Source organism: Homo sapiens, chromosome 8 (assembly GCF_000001405.40).
Source record: "Homo sapiens chromosome 8, GRCh38.p14 Primary Assembly".
NCBI lineage: Eukaryota > Metazoa > Chordata > Mammalia > Primates > Hominidae > Homo > Homo sapiens.
Window position 1 is genome coordinate 38,820,929 of NC_000008.11, and position 19,275 is coordinate 38,840,203.

Here is a 19,275-nt window from a genome sequence, read left to right on the forward strand (position 1 = left end):
GTCACGGTGGCTCACACCTGTAATCCCAGCACTTTGGGAGGCCGAGGCAGGTGGATCACTTGAGGTCCAGAGTTTGAGACCAGTCTGACCAACATGGTGAAACCTGTCTCTACTAAAAATGCAAAAATTAGCTGGGCGTGGTGGTGCACACCTGTAGTCCCAGCCACCCGGGAGGCTGAGACATGAGAATTGCTTGAACCCAGGAGGCAGAGGTTGCAGTGAGCCGAGATCACGCCGCTGCTCTCCAGCCTGGGTGACAGCAAGACTCCATCTCAAAAAAAAAAAAAGAATGGCATGAGATAGACAGGTAGAGATTTGATGGTTTTCAGAAATCCTGGCTGGACTGTTAGGAGTCGTGTTATAGACAATTCAAATGTCACTGCTGGCCACCGTCTTCATACTCTATGGATAAAACAGAAATTCCAGTCCTGTAACTTACCTCTGTAGCGTCAATAACGTGGGAAATGATCCAAAAGGGTCTTGTAGAAAGAAGACTTTTTACATAAACAGAAAGCTGTGATTTTTGTGGGAAACAAACCTACCACTAAAATTGATGAGAATTCTTGTCTCCATGTGTAATTTCTGGCTCATCAGCCAGGAGGTAAAATTTCAATAAGAATCAAGAATATTTTAAATGATCAGTTAAAACTGAGTAAATTAGTTGGTTTAGTCAATCCCCCATCTCTCCTGGGAAATTATCTGACTTTTGCAAGGTCCTTGGTGTTTTCAGTGTAATTACCTAAGGTCCTATTCCATATCAAGTTTCAGTTTAACTTTGCTACAGGATTACTTTATCACAAAACTTGAGTAGATGATAATACAATCATACATCACTTAGCCACAGGGTAAGCCACAGGGAAATGCATCCTTAGGTGATTTTGTTGTGTGAACATCGTCAAGTGAACTTACTCAAACCTAGGTGGTGAAACCTACTACACACCTAGGCTATATGGTACAGCCTGTTACTCCTAGGCTACAACCCTGTACAGCACATTATTGTACTGAATAGGTGCTAGGTGTGGTGGCTTACACCTGTAATCCCAACACTTTGGGAGGCCAAGGTGGGAGGATCCCTTGAGGCCAGGAGTTCAAGACCAGCCTGGGCAACATAGTGAGACACCCCCCCACACACACCGATTCCCTGTCTCTTAAAAAAATTTTTTTTAATTAGCTGGGAGTGGTGGTGCATGCCTGTAGACCCAGCTACTCAGGAGGTTGAGGCAGGAGGATTGCTTGAGCCCAGGAGGTTGAGGTTGCTGTGAGCCATGATTATGCCATTGTACTCCAGCCTGGCTGGCAGAGCAAGACCCTGTCTTTAAAAAAAAAAAAAAAAAAAAACTACTATAGGCAGTGTAACACAATGGTAAGTATTTGTGTATCTAAACATATCTAAGCATAGAAAAGGTACAGTAAAAATATAGTATAAAAGATAAAAAATAATACACCTGTATAGGGCCCTTACCATGAATGGAGCTTGCAGAACTGGAAGTTGCTCTGAGTGAGTCAGTGAGTGGTGAGTGAATGAGAAGGCCTTGGACATTACTGTACACTACTGTAGCTTCTATAAACACGGTACACTTCAGCTATGCTAAATTTATTTAAGTTTTTTTCCTTCAATAATAGATTAAGTTTAGCTTACTGTAACTTTTACTTTATCAACTTTTAAATTTTTTAAGAAGTTTTGACTCTTGTAATAAAACTTAGCTTAAAACACAAACACATGGTACAGCTATACAAAAATATTTTCTTTATATACCTATTCCATAAGTTTTCTTTGTGTAAAATTATTTATTTGTTTACTTTTTAAAATTTTTGTTAAAAACTAAGACACAGACACACACATTACCTAGGCCTACCCATTACCTAGGCCTACTCAGGATCGTCAGGACATCACTAGACAATAGTTTTTCAGTTCCATTATAACCCTACGGGACCACCATCGTATGCATGACTGAAATGTCATTACATGGCACCTGACTGTATATCCTTTTGTGGCCCTAAAAAGGGCCACATTTTACTAAAAAGTTTGAGTAAAATGTAGATATAAAGAAGGACCAATGAGATGCAGGATGAAATATGGGAGTATGAGAAGCACTGTGTTTGTACTTGTCACTGTAGATCAGTTGGGGAAATGCTTCTCAGCATTGCTATGACTTAAAGAAAAACTCCAGATATCATGGTGACTTACAGCAGAAAGGAAGACGCCCAGAGGTTTAAAGAGCAGAAGGATCAACTTCAGTACCAAGAAAGTAGAGAGATATAGGAACCAGTTCCTCAGCAGCCCCGGAATGGCTAAGGGGAGTGAAATGTCATTAGTAGCTCTCGATCTGTTCTTTGATTATATATAAGCAGTTAAATGGTTGTTGGAAAATATTATTGATTGGGTGCCCTCTTTTGTGGCTTTTAAGGTTGGTTACTCCTCTCTAGACAGCACTTAGGGTATGTACTGGGCACGTCACTGCCTAGGTACTTCCTCCCCTAAATGTGGGATGCTTCTGCATACTGAAGTTGATAAGGAGTCATTTGTGAGTCTTTGAGTTGCATGCAACCAATGCATTAAATAAGATGAAATCTGGGCCAAAGAAAGGGTAATTTATTCTACACTTTATATTCGGCAGCAAGAAGCACCGTCTCTCGAGTCCTGCCACCCTCACCCAGTAGCCTTTTTCCCCTATTCTGTTTTTGTTGAATGAACTTCTTGATCTAATACACTTAATAGGGCTTTTTTTAAGGCCTTATGCAATCAAAAATCTTGTCGTCTTGTTCTTTTTAGAAGAAAGGAGTGCTAGACCTCTTGGAAGTTTATTTTTCATCTGTAAATTTGAATTTGTGGCATTTCTGAGTGTTTCTACCAGTCTCCTTTGTAGTTGAGGTCTGTTCATCATTCACTCACTGGTGATAACATTCATGAATACGACATTTTTAATTTGTATCTCACCTCATAGAAAGAATTGTGCAGCTTTTACATCTGCCAGACTAGAGTTGAATATTCCAGTCTTTACATGATTTTTTTCTCCATCTGTCTGTCTCTTTCCTGTCTCTAATTTTGTTGGTGCATCAGGACTACTGAACAAGTGAAATTTCTCTGTTTTCTGTTGTAAGTACTCCTGCTGTTTCTTTAGTCCCTGGGACCGTTGGCAGTTTCCTCTCTCCCCTCCCCCAGCCATCTCTCCATAGCATGTTTGCTTCTAATTCTGAGTTTGATCTTCTGATGATTTTTTTGCATTTCATCAGTCACTTCATGAGTCAGCTTAGCCTTGCAGTTGTCCATACCTAAGGGAGTGGGGCTTGGCCTTTACACCTTAGGTGCTAGAGCTTGCACTCCCTGGCTTGGCAGGTGTCACGTGGCGCTTTGACAATACCAAAAGCTGGCTTGGCCCCAAGATCATCACAGCAGTGGTTTGAGGGACTGTTCTGCTATTTAATATTGGAAATCATTGGCTTTTTTGGTAGCATAAAGCTACTGGCTTGGAACAGTTAATAAATTTTACTGAGTCAGCTCAACTTGAGTTTGGTGGCAGAGGGTAGCACTCAGTAAGAAGATTAGGGAAAGAAGATCATGAACTAGTGATTATGCACATTCCGGTAACTTATGTGCTTGTCTTTGTATTTTTTCTCACAAAAGAAAAAAAGTTGCAAATAATTTTTTCTCTTTTTTTGGTCACAGTGGTGTTTTTCCTGGAAATTCTAAGTTTATTAGAACAGAATCTGAATTAGTCCTGTGATCACAAGTTGTGTGCTAATCTACAAATAACAGATGGTTCAAGCTTCCCCAGTTTCAGGCTTTGTGCAGCGTGTGACATTCATCTTCCATCTTACTACTTAATAGGAATGGTAACAGTTTACTCACATATTTTTACTTTTATACTTTTTATTGATGACAGTTCTTCTCTGTGAGCACACAAGTCTAACTGGAACTGTTTTATGAGACGTCTATGGCTTTTAGTGCAATAAAGAATTTTTAAAGAATTTGGTCCAGCGTGATGATTTTTCTAATGAATGTCAAAGCCAAGCGAGTGAGGCTCAGAGGAACTGAATGTCTCCAGCTGCTAAGGCTCTACTGTCTGCAAAGCTTTTGGTGGCGTGTAATTAAAAACCATAGACATCAGAGTGCTACTGTTTGACAACTCATAGAAGCAAGCTGAGGGGGTCTTTTCAGAGAATGAGCCCCGCTTGTAGGTCTTTGCTTACCCCGTCTCTCTGGAGAAAACTCAGAGGCATAAAAGGTGTCCCTGCCTCTCTCCTGCGGCGATGTATGATTTGTGTGGTGCTGTATGCTTTGGCTTCTATCCGCACACACTGCTGTCTGCTCCATTTCATACCTTGACAATTGTCAGTGTGATTGCAAACTGGCTTGTTTGTGTTTCTTCTCTTTCCAGGAGTGGCTGTAAGGTGAAGAAGCATGAAACTCAGTCTCTCGCCCTGGATGCATGTTCTCGGGTGAGTCTGTGCCCATCTCCAGAATGTCTCTGAGACCAGGGGTCCTCCAGTGGGAGTTTGCATCCCCCTGGCGGGTGGTTCAAAAGGACTTTCCAATGGGTACCTGAGTACTCAGCTTTAAGAAGCCAATTTCCAGATCCTTACTGTCCCTGAAGAGAAGGCCCCTGAAGACAAGGGAACCCTTTCACAATGACTCTTTTTTTTTTTTGGTAAAATTCCCACTTTAAATGCTACAAAGATGCATCACCACAGGGTGTGAAAGTCTCCAGGGCACCGAAGGGAAGATCTGAAATACTGGTGTAGGTTCTAATAAGATAATTGACTCTAATAACTGGATGGTATTTTTCTTAAGTCAGATGGTTTTCTAATTCATTGCTTTCAACAATAGAGGAAAACCTGAGTTGTCAGCTGATAGGTCTAAAAATAATGTTTGATGGTAGATTTTTTTGGGCACATAACTTGGAAAGGGGTTCAAAGAATTGAAAGGCACTTATGTTACAGAACTACTTTCTGTTTCATCTATTGTTTATATAAATAAGGTTTCTTAATGATTATATTGATAAAAATAGAAACCAGGAATAAAATTGATGTTGACCTTTGTTACATTCTAGCAATAAATAATATCCATCCATGACCGTATAAACTAATTGCAAAACAAAGCGAAGCCCAGGCCCATCTGATTGCAATGAGATCCTTTTGTTCTTTTTAAAACTTTCTCAGTATACTTATTACAGAAATACATTCATTGGTTAATAGAGTTCAATTTAACATAACTTTTCCTCTACAATTTGGATCAGAAACTTGGTATATGGTGTAAGATGTAAAAAAGGGGTGTGATGGGGGAAATTTACAATCTGAGTTATTTTTCATCTGTTAACAAATGTGTAACATTCTCCCTCAGATTTTGCTAAAGTAGGCAGCAAGAACTATGAGAAATTTATCTTTGGTTTTCTTTAAAAAACAAAAACAAAAACCCAAAACCCATATATTTAGTGCACTGTAAAAGTTTTTAAGAATTAGTGCAATAAAACATTTTGTAATTGATATAACAACTTACTTTTGTGTCTGATAATACTTATCAAAACTTGCAATATTTTGAAAATAAGTTGTGCATTAATAAATGTGATAAGTCTCCAGCAGAAAAAATTTTAAGACTTAAAGAAAAAAGTTTCACAGAGACATTGGATAGAGACTTTTAAAAAGACTTTCAACCATGCAGATGTTTTTCATTTGGATAGTTTCTTGATGGAAGTGGGATGGAAATACAGATTTAGAGAGGAAAAGGAATAACATAAATTTCTGACTTATTCAGGAACTTGTTCATTTAAATTTACATATGGTATCAAATCACTAAGGTAACTAGATAGCATTAAGTAAATTCAATATTTAGAATATTCCAGATATTACATTCTTTGCAATTATTTAAACTTATGCCAAAAAGTTTTTAGATGTCACTTGAAAATGCAATGGGGGACATAGATTTTCAAAAAAAAATTAGGTATATGAGCAAAAAAATTGAAAACCATTGTCTTAAACCACTGAAACTGCTTGCTTATAAACTTAACCTAGAGAAGATCATTTTTTAAAACCTCAGACTCAAGTTACAGAAACTAGGTTCTATAAAACAGCATCTCACAATTGAAAGACTCCAACTTCCTCCTTGCTTTGTACCCAGGTCTGTGGTTAACCTCTCACATATCTGTATGGAGTTGTGTCTACTTTGTTCCATTCATGGGATGTCACTTTTCCCCATTGCTTGCCCTCCTAAAGGGTAGCATCTTCTCTGTTGTGTTTCTCAGGATGAAGGGGCAGTGATCTCCCAGATTTCAGACATTTCTAATAGGGATGGCCATGCTACTGATGAGGAGAAACTGGCATCCACGTCATGTGGTCAGAAATCAGCTGGTGCCGAGGTGAAAGGTGAGCCAGAGGAAGACCTGGAGTACTTTGAATGTTCCAATGTTCCTGTGTCTACCATAAATCATGCGTTTTCATCCTCAGAAGCAGGTATGGAAGCATATCTTCATCTTTCTAATGTACATAAGCATGGAAATGCCTGAAAGCCTAATAAAGCAGGAGGAGCCTTACAGAGATTAAAGAATTGGGTCACTTGAAGGATAGATTTAGGATGCTGACCTATGCTTTGCTTCTTTACCTGGAAAAGGGACACAAAGTGCTTATTGAAGTACTAGGAACGTAGAGATACTTGTGACAAGTTGTATAGGAGATGCTGATGTATGTGAGACTGCTTGAATTTCTTTATAATTTTATGTGAATATGGCCATATCTTAAAGTATAGTGGTGTGTTAGTTCATTTGCGTTGCTGTAAAGGAATACCTGAGAATGGCTAATTTATAGGAAAAAGAGGTTTATTTGGTTCATGGTTCTGCAGACTGTAGAATAAGCATGGCACCAGTGCCTGCTTCTGGTGAGGGACTCAGGAAGCTTCCAATCATGGTGGAAGGCAAGGGGGAGCAAGTGTGTCACATGGCGAGAGGTGGGAGGAAGAGGGGGCGGGGAGGATGCCAGGCTATTTTTAACAAAGATTTCACAGAAACTAACAGCAAGAAGTCGCTCATTACCACAAGGAGGGCACCAAGCTATTCATGAGGGATCCGCTCCTATGACCCAGCCACCTCCCATTAGGCCTCACTTCCAACTGTTGATCAGGTTTCAACATGAGATTTAGGGGGCAAATATTTAAACTATATCAAATGGCCTATAAATATGTCATATGTTTGACTTTTTTGTGATTGTTATACTCATTGTTTAACTTAGAGAAATAACAACTGACATGTATGGTGCCTTACCATGTACAGGCATTGTTTTAAGTGCTTTGCATATACTCATTCATAGCAAGGTGTTACCCTTTTCTCACTTCTTCAGAGAAACAAAGTAAGTCAAAGAAGTTAAGTGACTTGATTAAAGTCACTTGGCTAGGGTAGGACAGAAAAGTGGTATCTTTTTCCTCACCACAAGGTTCATGGCTGAGACATCTCTAACAAAAGATCAACAAGAGAAAAGTGTACAAATATATTTAATATAAGTTTTACATGACATTAGAGCCTCCAGAAATGAAGACCCAAAGGAACAGGGAAAACTGTACTTTTATAGATAGTTGTGCAGAAGTATAATTGGAGGACAGAAGGGTGTGATCTGTGGTAATAAACCAGGGGAACTTAGCAAGTCCTGTTTGTTCCAATTCCTCTTGGTGTCTGTGTCTTTCAGGATAAGGACATTGTTTTTCTCTGTGTACAGGGAGGACCCCTCTTGTAATGAGGTCTTATGAACTATTTTCAGGGGAAGGTCTGAGGGGTTGCTTTATGGCCTGCTTCAGGAAAGGGGGCAGGAGAGGGGCCGAGAGACCTCCCTGCTTCTGCTGTGTCCTCAAATGCGAAGGCACCATATTTTGGTGAAGTGTGTTCTGAACCTCATCATTAGTAAATGGTAGAACTACATTTGACTCTAAGCAGTCTGGTTCCATGGTCTTTTCGCCACAATGCCAAAGTATGAAGAGATTATTTTCATGATACTAGGCTACTGTAAATTTTCCTGGTACAGATGTGGTAAGTTGAGATTGACCAGTGCACTGTAAAATCTTTCTTAACATGCCAATGAGGAACCTGGGCTAACCAGGGTGGAAGCCTCTTATTGATGGACTCATCAGATCATTCTAGAGCTAAGCCCCTCTTTCTTGGGACCCCAGTTACATCCTTGGCCTTAAACTTTACTTATGAAAAGTTTAGAACCATGTTCCTGACTACATTAAACATTATTAAAAACTCAGATCTTCTTAACATAATTTTATTCATGGGCTTTTATGTATAGAATTTTAAAAGTCATGATCTGCCATTAAGCCAGGGAAGCAGATGGAAAGTCAGGACTTGGAGCAATTTATTCCCCCTGGCCTCCTTCTCATCCCAGGCCTCAGTCTCTCATCTATAAAATAATATGCCAGGCATTGTTCCTGATTTCTTCCAATACTGTCTTCTGCCCTGACATCTTTCCCAAAGATATTGTTCACCATTCCCCCAGTTTCTTGGGGTTAATCCTGAGTATTCTTAACACCTGCCTTGGTTTTTTTCCATCTGAAGTGTCTTCCTTTGCTGCCTCTTACACAGATCTGCACATCCCTTCAGGTCTCTCCAGCATGCTTTTGCTCCCACATTTCCTTTCCCCCTTCCTGTTCCACAGTACCTAGCGCAGTGTGTTAATTACAGGAAGGTAATATTATAAACTTACTGAGGTTAGAGACTACCACTCATCTTTGAGTCACCTTTGACACAGTACATGGTAAACATTTATTGAATTATATTCTTCCTCACTAGAGGAAATTCCTTCAATAAAAATTTATGTAGAGAGCTGGGGCCCTGTACATACAGTGCTGTCTTCAAAGTTAGCAAACAGCAAGGGGAACATATTTAAACAAGTGGTTACATTGTAACTGATCAGCCGCATCACAAGCAAGTGGAGGCTGCGGTCCTGGGTGTGGGAATGGCTACAGGCCCTGTTAGGTGAATCCTGACTGTGTCCTGGTGAGTGTCCCCTTGAAGCTGGGTCCTGATGGATACTTACTAGATGTTCTCCAGGAAATGAGATTTTCACACAGCCATGGGAAGAAAGCTGCCACGTTGGTAAAAGGCCTGGTTGCTTTCTGTAAGTATCTGGCCAAGTGGGAAACAAGGTCATACCGTGGAATCTGGGCTTGATCCTATAGGTAGGGAGGGGGAGGTTGAAGGTTTTTGAATAAGGGAGTGATGGTCACATTTGTGTTTTAAATAATTAGCTATTGACAACAATAGTAGTTAGTGATTGCCATGTGGAGGATTGTAACTTTAAACTTTTGTATGCTTTTCTGTATTTTTATGTTTACTTTAATGAGTGCATCTTCTGGTTATTTTATTTTTTATTTTTCTTATTTTTGAGACTGAGTTTCGCTCTTGTTGCCCAGGCTGGAGTGTGGTGGCGCTATCTCAACTCACTGCAACCTCCAGCTCCCGGGTTCAAGCGATTCTCCTGCTTCAGCCTCCCAAGTAGCTGAGATTATAGGCATGCGCCACCACGCCCAGCTAATTTTTGTATTTTTAGTAGATGAGGCTTCGCCATGTTGGCTAGGCTGGTCTCCTGACCTCAGATGATCCACCCACCTTGGCCTCCCAAAGTGCTGGGATTACAGGCATGAGCCACTGTGCCCAGCCATCTTCTGGTTATTTTAAATGTCATCCTCTACCCTAGTAGAGTAGAGGATAGACCTGAGACAAGGAAGCCCATTTGAAGGGGTGGAGGGGAGAATGAGTTTAGTTTCGCTGCCTTGAATTTTAAAGCTTATTATCTTATCTGCTGCATTAATTAGATCAAGGCCACCCTTCTGGGCTGGAATTTAAATTCACTCCGACTTGATGATTAAAAAAAAGCATTCAGTGTTACACAGTGTCCCCTTTCTGAAATAATGCCACAGTTAGTACGACACATTTTTCCAAACTTTTAATGGACACAAGGGGGCAGCCTTGCTGTTCTTTCAGCCTGAAGGCTGACGACCTGTTTGTGGCTGACTAACCATGTGCTCCTCTTCTGAATGTCATGGACTTATAACAGCACTCAACAAAATGCCAGCGCTCCTTTTAAATAAAATCTTAAAATGCTTTTCATGTGTTCATAAGTCATTCTCGCCTGCACTGGGGTTTCCAAGAGCCTTTCACTAGGGAGGAAAGGAACCGACTTCTTGGGATAACTATAAAAATGACTTTCTGTCTTAGGCATAGAGAAGGAGACGTGCCAGAAGATGGAAGAAGACGGGTCCACTGTGCTTGTAAGTTCCTGAATGTGGAGGGCCGGGTGGACTCAGGTTTCTTTCAGTATTTGTTTTGAAGCCCATGTGAATTTGTTAAATTCTGGTCAGTGTTAGGTGATGAGGATAAAATGTAAATGAGATAGTTTCTTCACTTGAGGAACACATAGTCTCTGCATTGTAACCCTAGCCGCAGGTAGCTGTGGAGCACTTGAACTGTAGCTACTCAGAAAAAGAAGAAGCATAAATGTCTCAACTTTTTATATTAACTACATGTTGAGATGATAATATTTTGGATGTCTTGGGTTAACTAAGGTTTATTATTATCATTATTATTGTTGTTATTATTATTATTATTTGAGACAGTCTCACTCTGTTCCCCAGGCTGGAGTACAGTGGTGCAATCTTGGCTAACTGCAACCTTCACCTCCTGGGCTCAAGTGATCCTTCTACCACAGCCTCCCAAGTAGCTGGAACTAGAGGCACGTGCCACCGCACCCAGCTAGTTTTTGTATTTTTTGCAGAAATGGGGTCTTGCCATGTTACCTAGGCTGGTCTCAAACTCCTGGGCTCAAGCAATCTGCCCACCTCCGCCTCCCAAAGTGCTGGGATTACAGGCATGAGCCCCTGCACCTGGCTGGTTTACTCAGTTCTTTTTTTTTTTTTTGAGACAGAGTTTCACTCTTGTCACCCAGGTTGGAGTACAGTGACGCAATCTCGGCTCACTACAACCTCCACCTACTGGGTTCAAGCAGTTCTCCTCCCTCAGCCTCCTCAGTAGCTGGGATTACAGGCATGCGCCACCACGCCCAGCTAATTTTTGTATTATTAGTAGAGATGGGGTTTCACCATGTTGGCCAAGCTGGTCTCAAACTCCTGACCTCAGGTGATCCACCTGCCTTGGCCTCCTGAAGTGCTGGGATTACAGGCATGAGCCACTGCGCCCAGCCCATTTACTCAGTTCTTAAACTTTAAACTTCCTAATTCCCAACTGATTCATCCATAAAATGAGTAGCACCCATCTGCCTTATCAAAGTGGTTGTAAGGATAAGATGAAATGACAACGTGAAAGATTTAAGCTGTAAAGTGCTAGAATACACTAGTGTGCTAGAATACACTGTTGTGTTAGAATACACTGGTGTGGTGTTGATAGGAAACACGTGGAAAAGAGAGTGGAAAGGAAGAGAGTGAAAAAGAAAAATGGCAAACACTGTCTCTGAAGCCAGCTGGTGAGGAACATATCATATGCTGTGACCTTTTAAAAGCAACTCCTTTTGAACTTCCCAACATAAATTAATTTCTGCTTCCTTAGAACATTGAATAAACATTGTATAAAGAAATTTCACCATGCAAAACATTGAATGAAAAAATCATCTATTTAATCCATCATTCACTTTTTAAGTTTATCTGTGTTGCTCTGAAGTCCATTCTTATGTGGTCTTGTGCCCAGCAGTAGGTGGTGGCTGGACTAAGGCCAGAGTACAATCAGTGGTAGGAGTCAGTCTCTCCTTGCTTTTCAGCTGTTGTTCCACAGCATTTTTCACGTAAGAAGTTAACTTTTCTTTTTAAGTTTTAAATGTTTTAAAAGGTGAGTTCATTTGGCTTTTTTGGGCACGTCTCTGTTAGAGTACGGCAGGGGCTGATACTGCTCTCTTGTGATTGAGGACAAATGAGCACAGTCAGCACACTGCCACAGATTAGTGATGCGAATTCTCCACAGCCACGGGAATCAGTGGCATCTGTGCTCACTGTAAATTTGCAACCGGGAGTCCATTGAGTTCTGTTGTCTATAGACTGGTCTTTGTTGGTCCTCAATTGTGAATGTTTTGAGGGACTGGGAGAAGCACTGGCAAACATGAAATAAAGCCCTTTTGGAAGGATATGATTGATTGATTTAGCGTCTTCATTAAAGACATATTAGATGGCCCAGGCCTAAAACAGATCTTCTGGCCAATTCTCTGTGATGGTAGATTCTATAACAAGCTTGTCCAACTTGCTTAATTTTGTTGTTGTTGTTCTGATTGGTTTTGTTTTAGGCTTTTAGCAGCCTGAAGCCATAGTTTTTAGTTTCTGTCTCTAGTGATAAGCGGAAAAGAGGGATGAGGAAGGGGCTTTACTGCCCCAACCAGAAACAGAAACTAAGAACCCATGACTGCATTCTCTCCCTTGGACACCCCTGTGAAATGTTCTGCACTTTTTGATAAGCAACTTAAAGGACTAAGGAATGTAAAAAGTTAAATCCTAGGAGACTGGAAAAGATGGCTAAAGTAGGCAAGGGCATACATTCCTGCCCTGACACCTGTAAGAGTTGTTGCATTTTGAGTAGTGAGGTTTGTAAATGTGGCCAGGCAGAGAGGAGAGTGGCTGGGGAGAGTCGGCAGGCTGAAGAGCCCACTCACCTGGAGACATTAAACACCATCTAAGGTTTGATCTCCTACCGCCTGCTCAGGATGCTGCCTCTTCCAGACCCCACATGTGTTAGCATTGAGTTGTTAAGCAGGCAGACTGAATTCATTTACCCTCTCAACAAATGAATGAGATGCTGAACTCTGTAATGGATGTTGATGTTTTCCTGGCTATGAAGATTTTTAGGGGGCGTATTTCCCATATTCTCACGAACTTGGTAGCCATGGAAAGCACTGAGAGTCTGTTTCCTAAAGTTGACTTAACCTGGGGACTCTGGCTTAAACTAAGAACTCAGAAGAGACTGACCCATGAAATGTTGTTAATTTAGAATCAGAAGTTTAACAGTGAGGTGAATCAAGTCTCAACTTGACCTCCTGTATTACCTCCCTTTAGGCAAGTAAAAGTTTCTTGATAAGAAACAAGGCACAGGAAGTTAGTGAGATGATTCAAATGTCCAGGGGTGTATCAGCTATCTGCTGCTGTGTAACACATTACTCCAACACTTAAAGCAAGTGTTTATTATCTCATTGTTTCTGTGCGTCAGGAATCTTGGGCAGCTTTGCTGGGTGCCTCTGACTCAGAATCTGTTACAGGCTGTGCAATCCAGGTGTTGATCAGGGCTGCAGTCATATCCAGGCTTGACTTGGGGAGGATCTGCTTCCAAGCTCACTCATGTGGTTGTTGGCAAGTCTCGGGTCCCCACTGGCTATTGGCAGAGACATCGGCTCCTTGCCACGTGGGCCTTTCCCTGTAGCTTCTCAAAACATGGAAGTCAGAGTTTGTTCAGAACCTAACCTCAGAAGTGACATCCATGACGTTTGCCATATTCTAATGAGTCACTAGGTCCAGCCTACACTCAAAGGGAAGAGATTACAGAGGGAGGGGATTAGTACTGGAGGTAGGGGTTACTGGGGGGCATTTTAGAGGCTGCCCACTGCAAGTGCCTTCTGGTTCTAGTGGTAGATTTTTCCCAAGAGAGAAAAGAGAGGTTTTGTGGGTACCTTGGACTTCTGTTGGCATGGTGGGCTGCCCTCCCCCAAATGCTGCTGGAACATGGGCACTGCCAGCTTGTGGCTTTTGTATTTTGCTTTTCTGTGGCCTGAGACAGGTTTCTATTTTGGGCCCATGGCTGAGGTCTGTGAAGCTGCATGCTAAAATTCTGTTTCTGAGCATTTTCTAGAGAGAGGGTAAAACTATAATGACTCTGAAAAATTTAAAAGCCACTCATCTACGTTCACCTTGGACTTTCTGTTTAGTGTTGATTCACACAAGATGTAACTGATTGATTATAATCAGTAACTAATTGATTAGTTATCCCACATTTAAGATTAAGATTATTCCAGGTCACTTTGGCATTTTGGATGTTCCCAAAGTATTAGATGACTCATTTATATAAAAAGTTTACTTCTGGCCAGGCGCGGTGGCTCACGCCTGTAATCCCAGCACTTTGGGAGGCCGAGGCAGGCAGATTGCAAGGTCAGGAGATTGAGACCATCCTGGCTAACACGGTGAAACCCCGTCTCTACTAAAAATACAGAAAAATTAGCCGGGCGTGGTGGCGGGCACCTGTAGTCCCAGCTACTCGGGAGGCTGAGGCAGGAGAATGGCGTGAACCCGGGAGGCGGAGCTTGCAGCGAGCCGAGATTGCGCCACTGCACTCTAGCCTGGGCCACAGAGTGAGACCCCGTCTCAAAAAAAAAAAAAAAAGTTTACTTCCGTAGGTAGGAGGAATAGCCAGCAAAAACGTCTTTTAGGAAGGAAAATAGTACAAAGTCCATGTTCTCATGAAAAGAAAAGTTTGCCAGTGTTTTGCTCTGGAACCTGAGCTTATGAAAGAAGCTCCTCAGAGCTTCTGAGCCAGCACCTCAGAGGGCGAAGTGCTGCCAGAAGGGAGTGGAAAACTTAGTAGCAAGGAAGAACCAACACACAGGCATGGTCCTTGACTTATGTATGGCCATTTTGCATATGGGCAACAATGGCACACACCCAGCAGGCTGGGTTACAGCAGGAGGTCGCTGCGGAGCAGCGGAAGTTCAGGATGATCCTGAATCATCCGGGTGAAAGGGTGGGGGTGAGAGTTCAGAGTTCAAATATATTTGCTATTTCTGCCTTCTTAGGCCTGAAAGTTAGTATTTTAGAAACATTTCCATCTGCAGTGGCTAAAGATACATACAAAGCATCAATATGTAACAGGAGCAGCTGTCACTTGTTTTTGTTTTTGCTTTTTTAAAAAAGAAATTCCCATTTACATGGAGCTTATCCCCAGAAACTTAATCATGGGTGTGTTTCTCTTTTATCCATGTGGTTCTTTGGTGACTGACCGCTATTATAAGTACACTTTCTCCCTTTTAGATCAGAATAAAATTCTCTAGGTTATCTGCTCAACAGAAGCTAAGACCACTCTGATAGTCATTATAACAGTTTTTCTTTAGTTACTTCCATAATTAGATTTGTTTTTTAAAAAGCTTCCCCCCGCTGACTTTTCTTTAAACATGGTTTTAAAGGATGTGATCAATTTAGTAATGAGGAAGTTGTTGAAGGATGTCTGGGGTTAAGAAGCTGAAAGCTGACAGATTCAGTGTAATCCCTTTCCCCACAGGGGCTGCTGGAGTCCTCTGCAGAGAAGGCCCCTGTGTCGGTGTCCTGTGGAGGTGAGAGCCCCCTGGATGGGATCTGCCTCAGCGAATCAGACAAGACAGCCGTGCTCACCTTAATAAGAGAAGAGGTAAAAGCTCTCCTGTTTAGTCTGCTTATCACTCCATTTCTTTGTAAGGCCCATGTACCAGCAGGTAGATTGCATCTCTGCTGGCTCAAGTTATCACAGGCTGGAAGTTCTTATTACCTGCAGCTTGTTTAGGTCGTAAAAGGGCCCCCTGTGGCAGTGGTGCTGGAGTCCTGACATTCTGGTCTCCAGGGTAAAATGTTGACAATCTGAAATATTCTTAAGAATTTTGTACCCTTCTTTATCTTTCAGCCCTGACATTTAAAATACCTAATTTTGCCAGCTTTGCTCCCATGTGTAACTAAATCAGTGCTTTTATTTTACAGAGGATATATGCTAATGCCTAAAAACATTTGTAATTTTTTTGCAGTAATACACAGTTGTTTCCTACTTTCATCCATTCTTTAAACCGTTCAACTCTCCGATTCCTGTATTGTGTTTCTTGAACAGCCTTTGTTCAAAATAGATCACTGCTAGGCCTTTCCTGGTTATCTGAAAAATACGAAAGACACTGTTGTGTACCATTAATAAGTTGCCCACCCTCTCCTGTCATATATCTATGCTGTATTTTGTGTGTTTGTTTTGTGTGTTTCTTGACAATTCCACCTGTTCTTAAAGGAAGGTGTGGCAATTTTATTTTTATAGTTTTTAGTTTTATAGTTTTTTTTAGTTTTAATTTTTATAGTATGCTGAAAGTGGTTAAGCACCTCAGCTGTAGGTCTTTTACAGCTTTCTAAAATAGCATCAAGTTGGTAATGAGGGATGTCAGCTAGTCCTGTTTTCAAAACTTGGGAGCAGTGGTAATAAGGCCCACCAAAATCTTTTTTTTTTTTTTTTTTTGAGATAAAATCTTGGCGCAGTAGCTCATGCCTGTAATCCCAGTGCTTTGGGAGGCCAAGGCGGGCGGATCACCTGAGTTCAGGAATTCGAGACCAGACTGACCAACGTGGAGAAACCCCATCTCTACTAAAAAAAAAAAAAATACAAAATTAGCTGGGCGTGGTGGTGCATGCCTGTAATCCCAGCTACTTGGGAGGCTGAGGTGGGAGAATCGCTTGAACCTGGGAGACGAAGGTTGTGGTGAGCCGAGATCGCACCATTGCACTCCAACCTGGGCAACAAGAGCGAAACTCCATCTCAGAAAAATAAAAATAAAATAAAAGACAAGATCTCACTCTGTCACCCAGGCTGAGTGCAGTGGCACAATTATAGCTCATTGCAGCCTCGAACTCCTAGGGTCAAGCGATCCTCTTGCCTCAGCTGCCTGAGTAGCTGGGACTGCAAGCACGCACCACTGTCCCTGGCCAAAATCTTGTAAATGAGAAAAATGACTTGATGTTTTTCCTGGGAGTTAAACTATGAGATCACCACCTAATGGATCAAAGTAAAGAGGTGCCTGATTACCTGAAGCACACAGGATACATCCTTCTATGTTCTTGAGATCCTAATAAATATAATGAAACTACCAATTAGGAAGAGAGCGGCACGGCCAGGGAAGTACAGTAAGAGGCTGCCCATGCAAGCCCAGCCCAGGGCAAATAGAGTTTGAGGCAATGAATTTAGAGTATTTCCTTCCAGTTAGCAAGAGCATCCCAAATATGAGCCTAGGTTCCAGGCTAACTAGCAAGACTCTACCCATAAGTGACGGATGCTATAGCTAGATGTAGCCAGCTCATCTGAGCCCCCTCCTTCTGACTCCATTTCTATGAAGCTGTCAGAAATCTCTATAGAAAGAGAATGTGTTGCTCATGCCAACTTCCAGTGGTCTGACTTTGTGGCAGTTTCACTCTGGTGGCCTGGCATCAGCCGTGATTACATGGCCTTAGTTAAGAGTGAATACCTGCCAATCAGATGGCTCTGTTCTTGGTGTCTGTCCCAGTCAGGGCCTGGCCCTGCAGAGCTGAGAGCTAGACCCTGGACCAAGGTAAAGTTCACAGAGGCTGTAAATACTACTTGGGATTTCTGAGAGATGTTCTACTCATCTTTATTCCCGTGTCTGCATCCCAGCATTCAGTGTGGCTTAGAATACACTTTTCCAAATGGTTACAAACATTTAATATTGAAGTTTATATTTCTAATATAGATTGAACATCTTGGGTTAGACCTGGTTGTGTGCTATTTCAGTTCCCAGTCTTAAATGCAAATTGTAATAGATTGGGTAAAACTAAGCTTTATTGTACTCTAGATAATTACTAAAGAGATTGAAGCAAATGAATGGAAGAAGAAATACGAAGAGACCCGGCAAGAAGTTTTGGAGATGAGGTTAGACTGGAGGTTTTGGGGAGGGGCTGGATACTTTTATGCACTGTTAGATTTGATACAGATGAAGTGATGACAGTGTTTGCTTGCCACAGAACCAAGTGTTGAGAGCTTGAGGGCTTTGCTGTTTGCACCTTGCTTTGTGATTGAGAATGTTATTTCAGGAGTTATTGCTAACCAGTTATTATATTCAAATACTGTAGTTTATCTTGGGTTGTTCAGAACATATAACATGTAAACAGAACCCACATAATTCTTATCTTCTTAGAACTGACAGAAATTTGTATCAAAATATCCATTTGGAATACAGAAAAATAAGATTTATCCAATGATAGAGACACTGAAATTCATAATACTACTTTTTTTTTTTTGAGGCAGGGTCTCACTCTGTCATCCAGGCTGGAGTGCAGTGGTGTGATCATGGCTCACTGCAGCCTCAACCTCCTGGGATCAACTGATCCTCTCCCCTCTGCCTCCCAAGTAGCTGGGACCACAGGCATGTGCCACCATGCCTGCATAATTTTTTTTAGAGATGAGGTCTCGCTCTGTTGCCCAGGCTGGTTTGTAACTCCTGAGCTCAAGCAATGCACCTGCCTCAGCCTCCCAAAGTGCTGGGATTGCAGGCATGAGCCACAGCGCCTGGTCCATAATACTTTTTAAAAATTAATTATGCATGAGAGTTTCAAATTACATAACCACCAAATAGATGATAGAAAGCTTGTTAACAAGAAACAAAATTGATTGACTTGAAATCGAAATCTTTTTATTTTTCCTCACTTTTAGAAAGGAGAGTTATGAGCCATGAAATGACTAAAGATGAAATCAAAGTAGAGAAGAAAAAAAGGCATAAATAATTCACACACAGTGTGGTCAACACTTGAATGATTAAAAAACATTTTAAGTATATCCCTCTAATTTGTTGCTCTTTTATTATTTGTCTTTTAAGCATTTCCTAGGTGTAAGGCCCTTTGCTGGGCTTGATGGAAAGGAAGGGACATTCCTGCTCTTAGAGAGCGGTAGCCATCCATAATAACCAACTTGGATATGACGTCAAAAGTGATGGGGGCACCACCATTGAGGGCAGGGGAGGACGTGATGCGACTCACAGAGCACCCAGCACCGGACTGGGTCAGAAGGACATTGTCATTCTTCACTAGAAGAAAGGTTAACCCAAGAGGTTGATCTTTAAAGTCTTTGAATAAGTGAAATACTTTTGGAATTAGGACACAAAATAAAACTTGTCACTGAATCAGAGGTAGAGTGTCTGAAAGGGTGGATTGACTCAGGAAAGTCTAAAGTCAGATCGCATCTGTTAGGAAGAGCCCAGAAGAATATCTTTAACTTAGTTTGTAAAAGATTGACTCATCTAAGCAGAATGAATCTATTTCCTTGCAGTATTCAAATAGGTGCAAAGAGAAAGGGAAGGCAGTTGGTTCTATAAGTAAAATATAAGTTTGACTAAAGATAAAATCTTAACAAAAACCTTTTTAGAACCTTAAGAAACCTTATATAATGTAAAAAAAAAAAAAAAAAAAAGATAACGAGAGCCCCAAAGCAGATAAATGGATTACATACATTGTCAGTGTATGTTAATGTGTTTAATTGTTTGGGACAGCATTTCTCCAACTTTCATTGTCTGAAAATCCTCCTCTGGTAATAA

General features: G+C 41.3%; 1 protein-coding gene across 53 annotated transcripts in view, besides 1 other annotated feature; it reads left to right on the forward strand.

Moving 5' to 3' along the window:
- Positions 1–19,275, forward strand: part of TACC1 (transforming acidic coiled-coil containing protein 1) — a 124,447-nt gene that overhangs the window by 92,347 nt on the left and 12,825 nt on the right. For 18 of the 53 annotated variants that reach the window (NR_148049.2, XM_047422145.1, NM_001352786.2 and 15 more), the window contains 5 exons: positions 4,380–4,440; positions 6,240–6,360; positions 10,197–10,249; positions 15,234–15,359; positions 17,542–17,618. Coding sequence is in view for 50 of the 53 variants with exons in the window: in XM_047422145.1 (XP_047278101.1) it covers positions 4,380–4,440; positions 6,240–6,360; positions 10,197–10,249; positions 15,234–15,359; positions 17,542–17,618 (438 nt within the window). In the remaining 3 variants the exon portion in view is untranslated. Of the gene's footprint in view, positions 1–3,061; positions 3,098–4,379; positions 4,441–6,239; positions 7,643–10,196; positions 10,250–15,233; positions 15,360–17,541; positions 17,619–19,275 lie in introns of those variants that run through there. The other 35 variants (NR_148051.2, XM_047422142.1, NM_001352778.2 and 32 more) reach the window with 5 other exon arrangements.
- Positions 13,954–14,737: an enhancer, noted in NCBI's record as "H3K27ac-H3K4me1 hESC enhancer chr8:38692400-38693183 (GRCh37/hg19 assembly coordinates)". NCBI's record gives its function as "activates a minimal SCP1, AML or CMV promoter by ChIP-STARR-seq in primed H9 embryonic stem cells {active_cell/tissue: H9 hESC(primed)}" and the evidence as "EXISTENCE:reporter gene assay evidence [ECO:0000049][PMID:30033119]".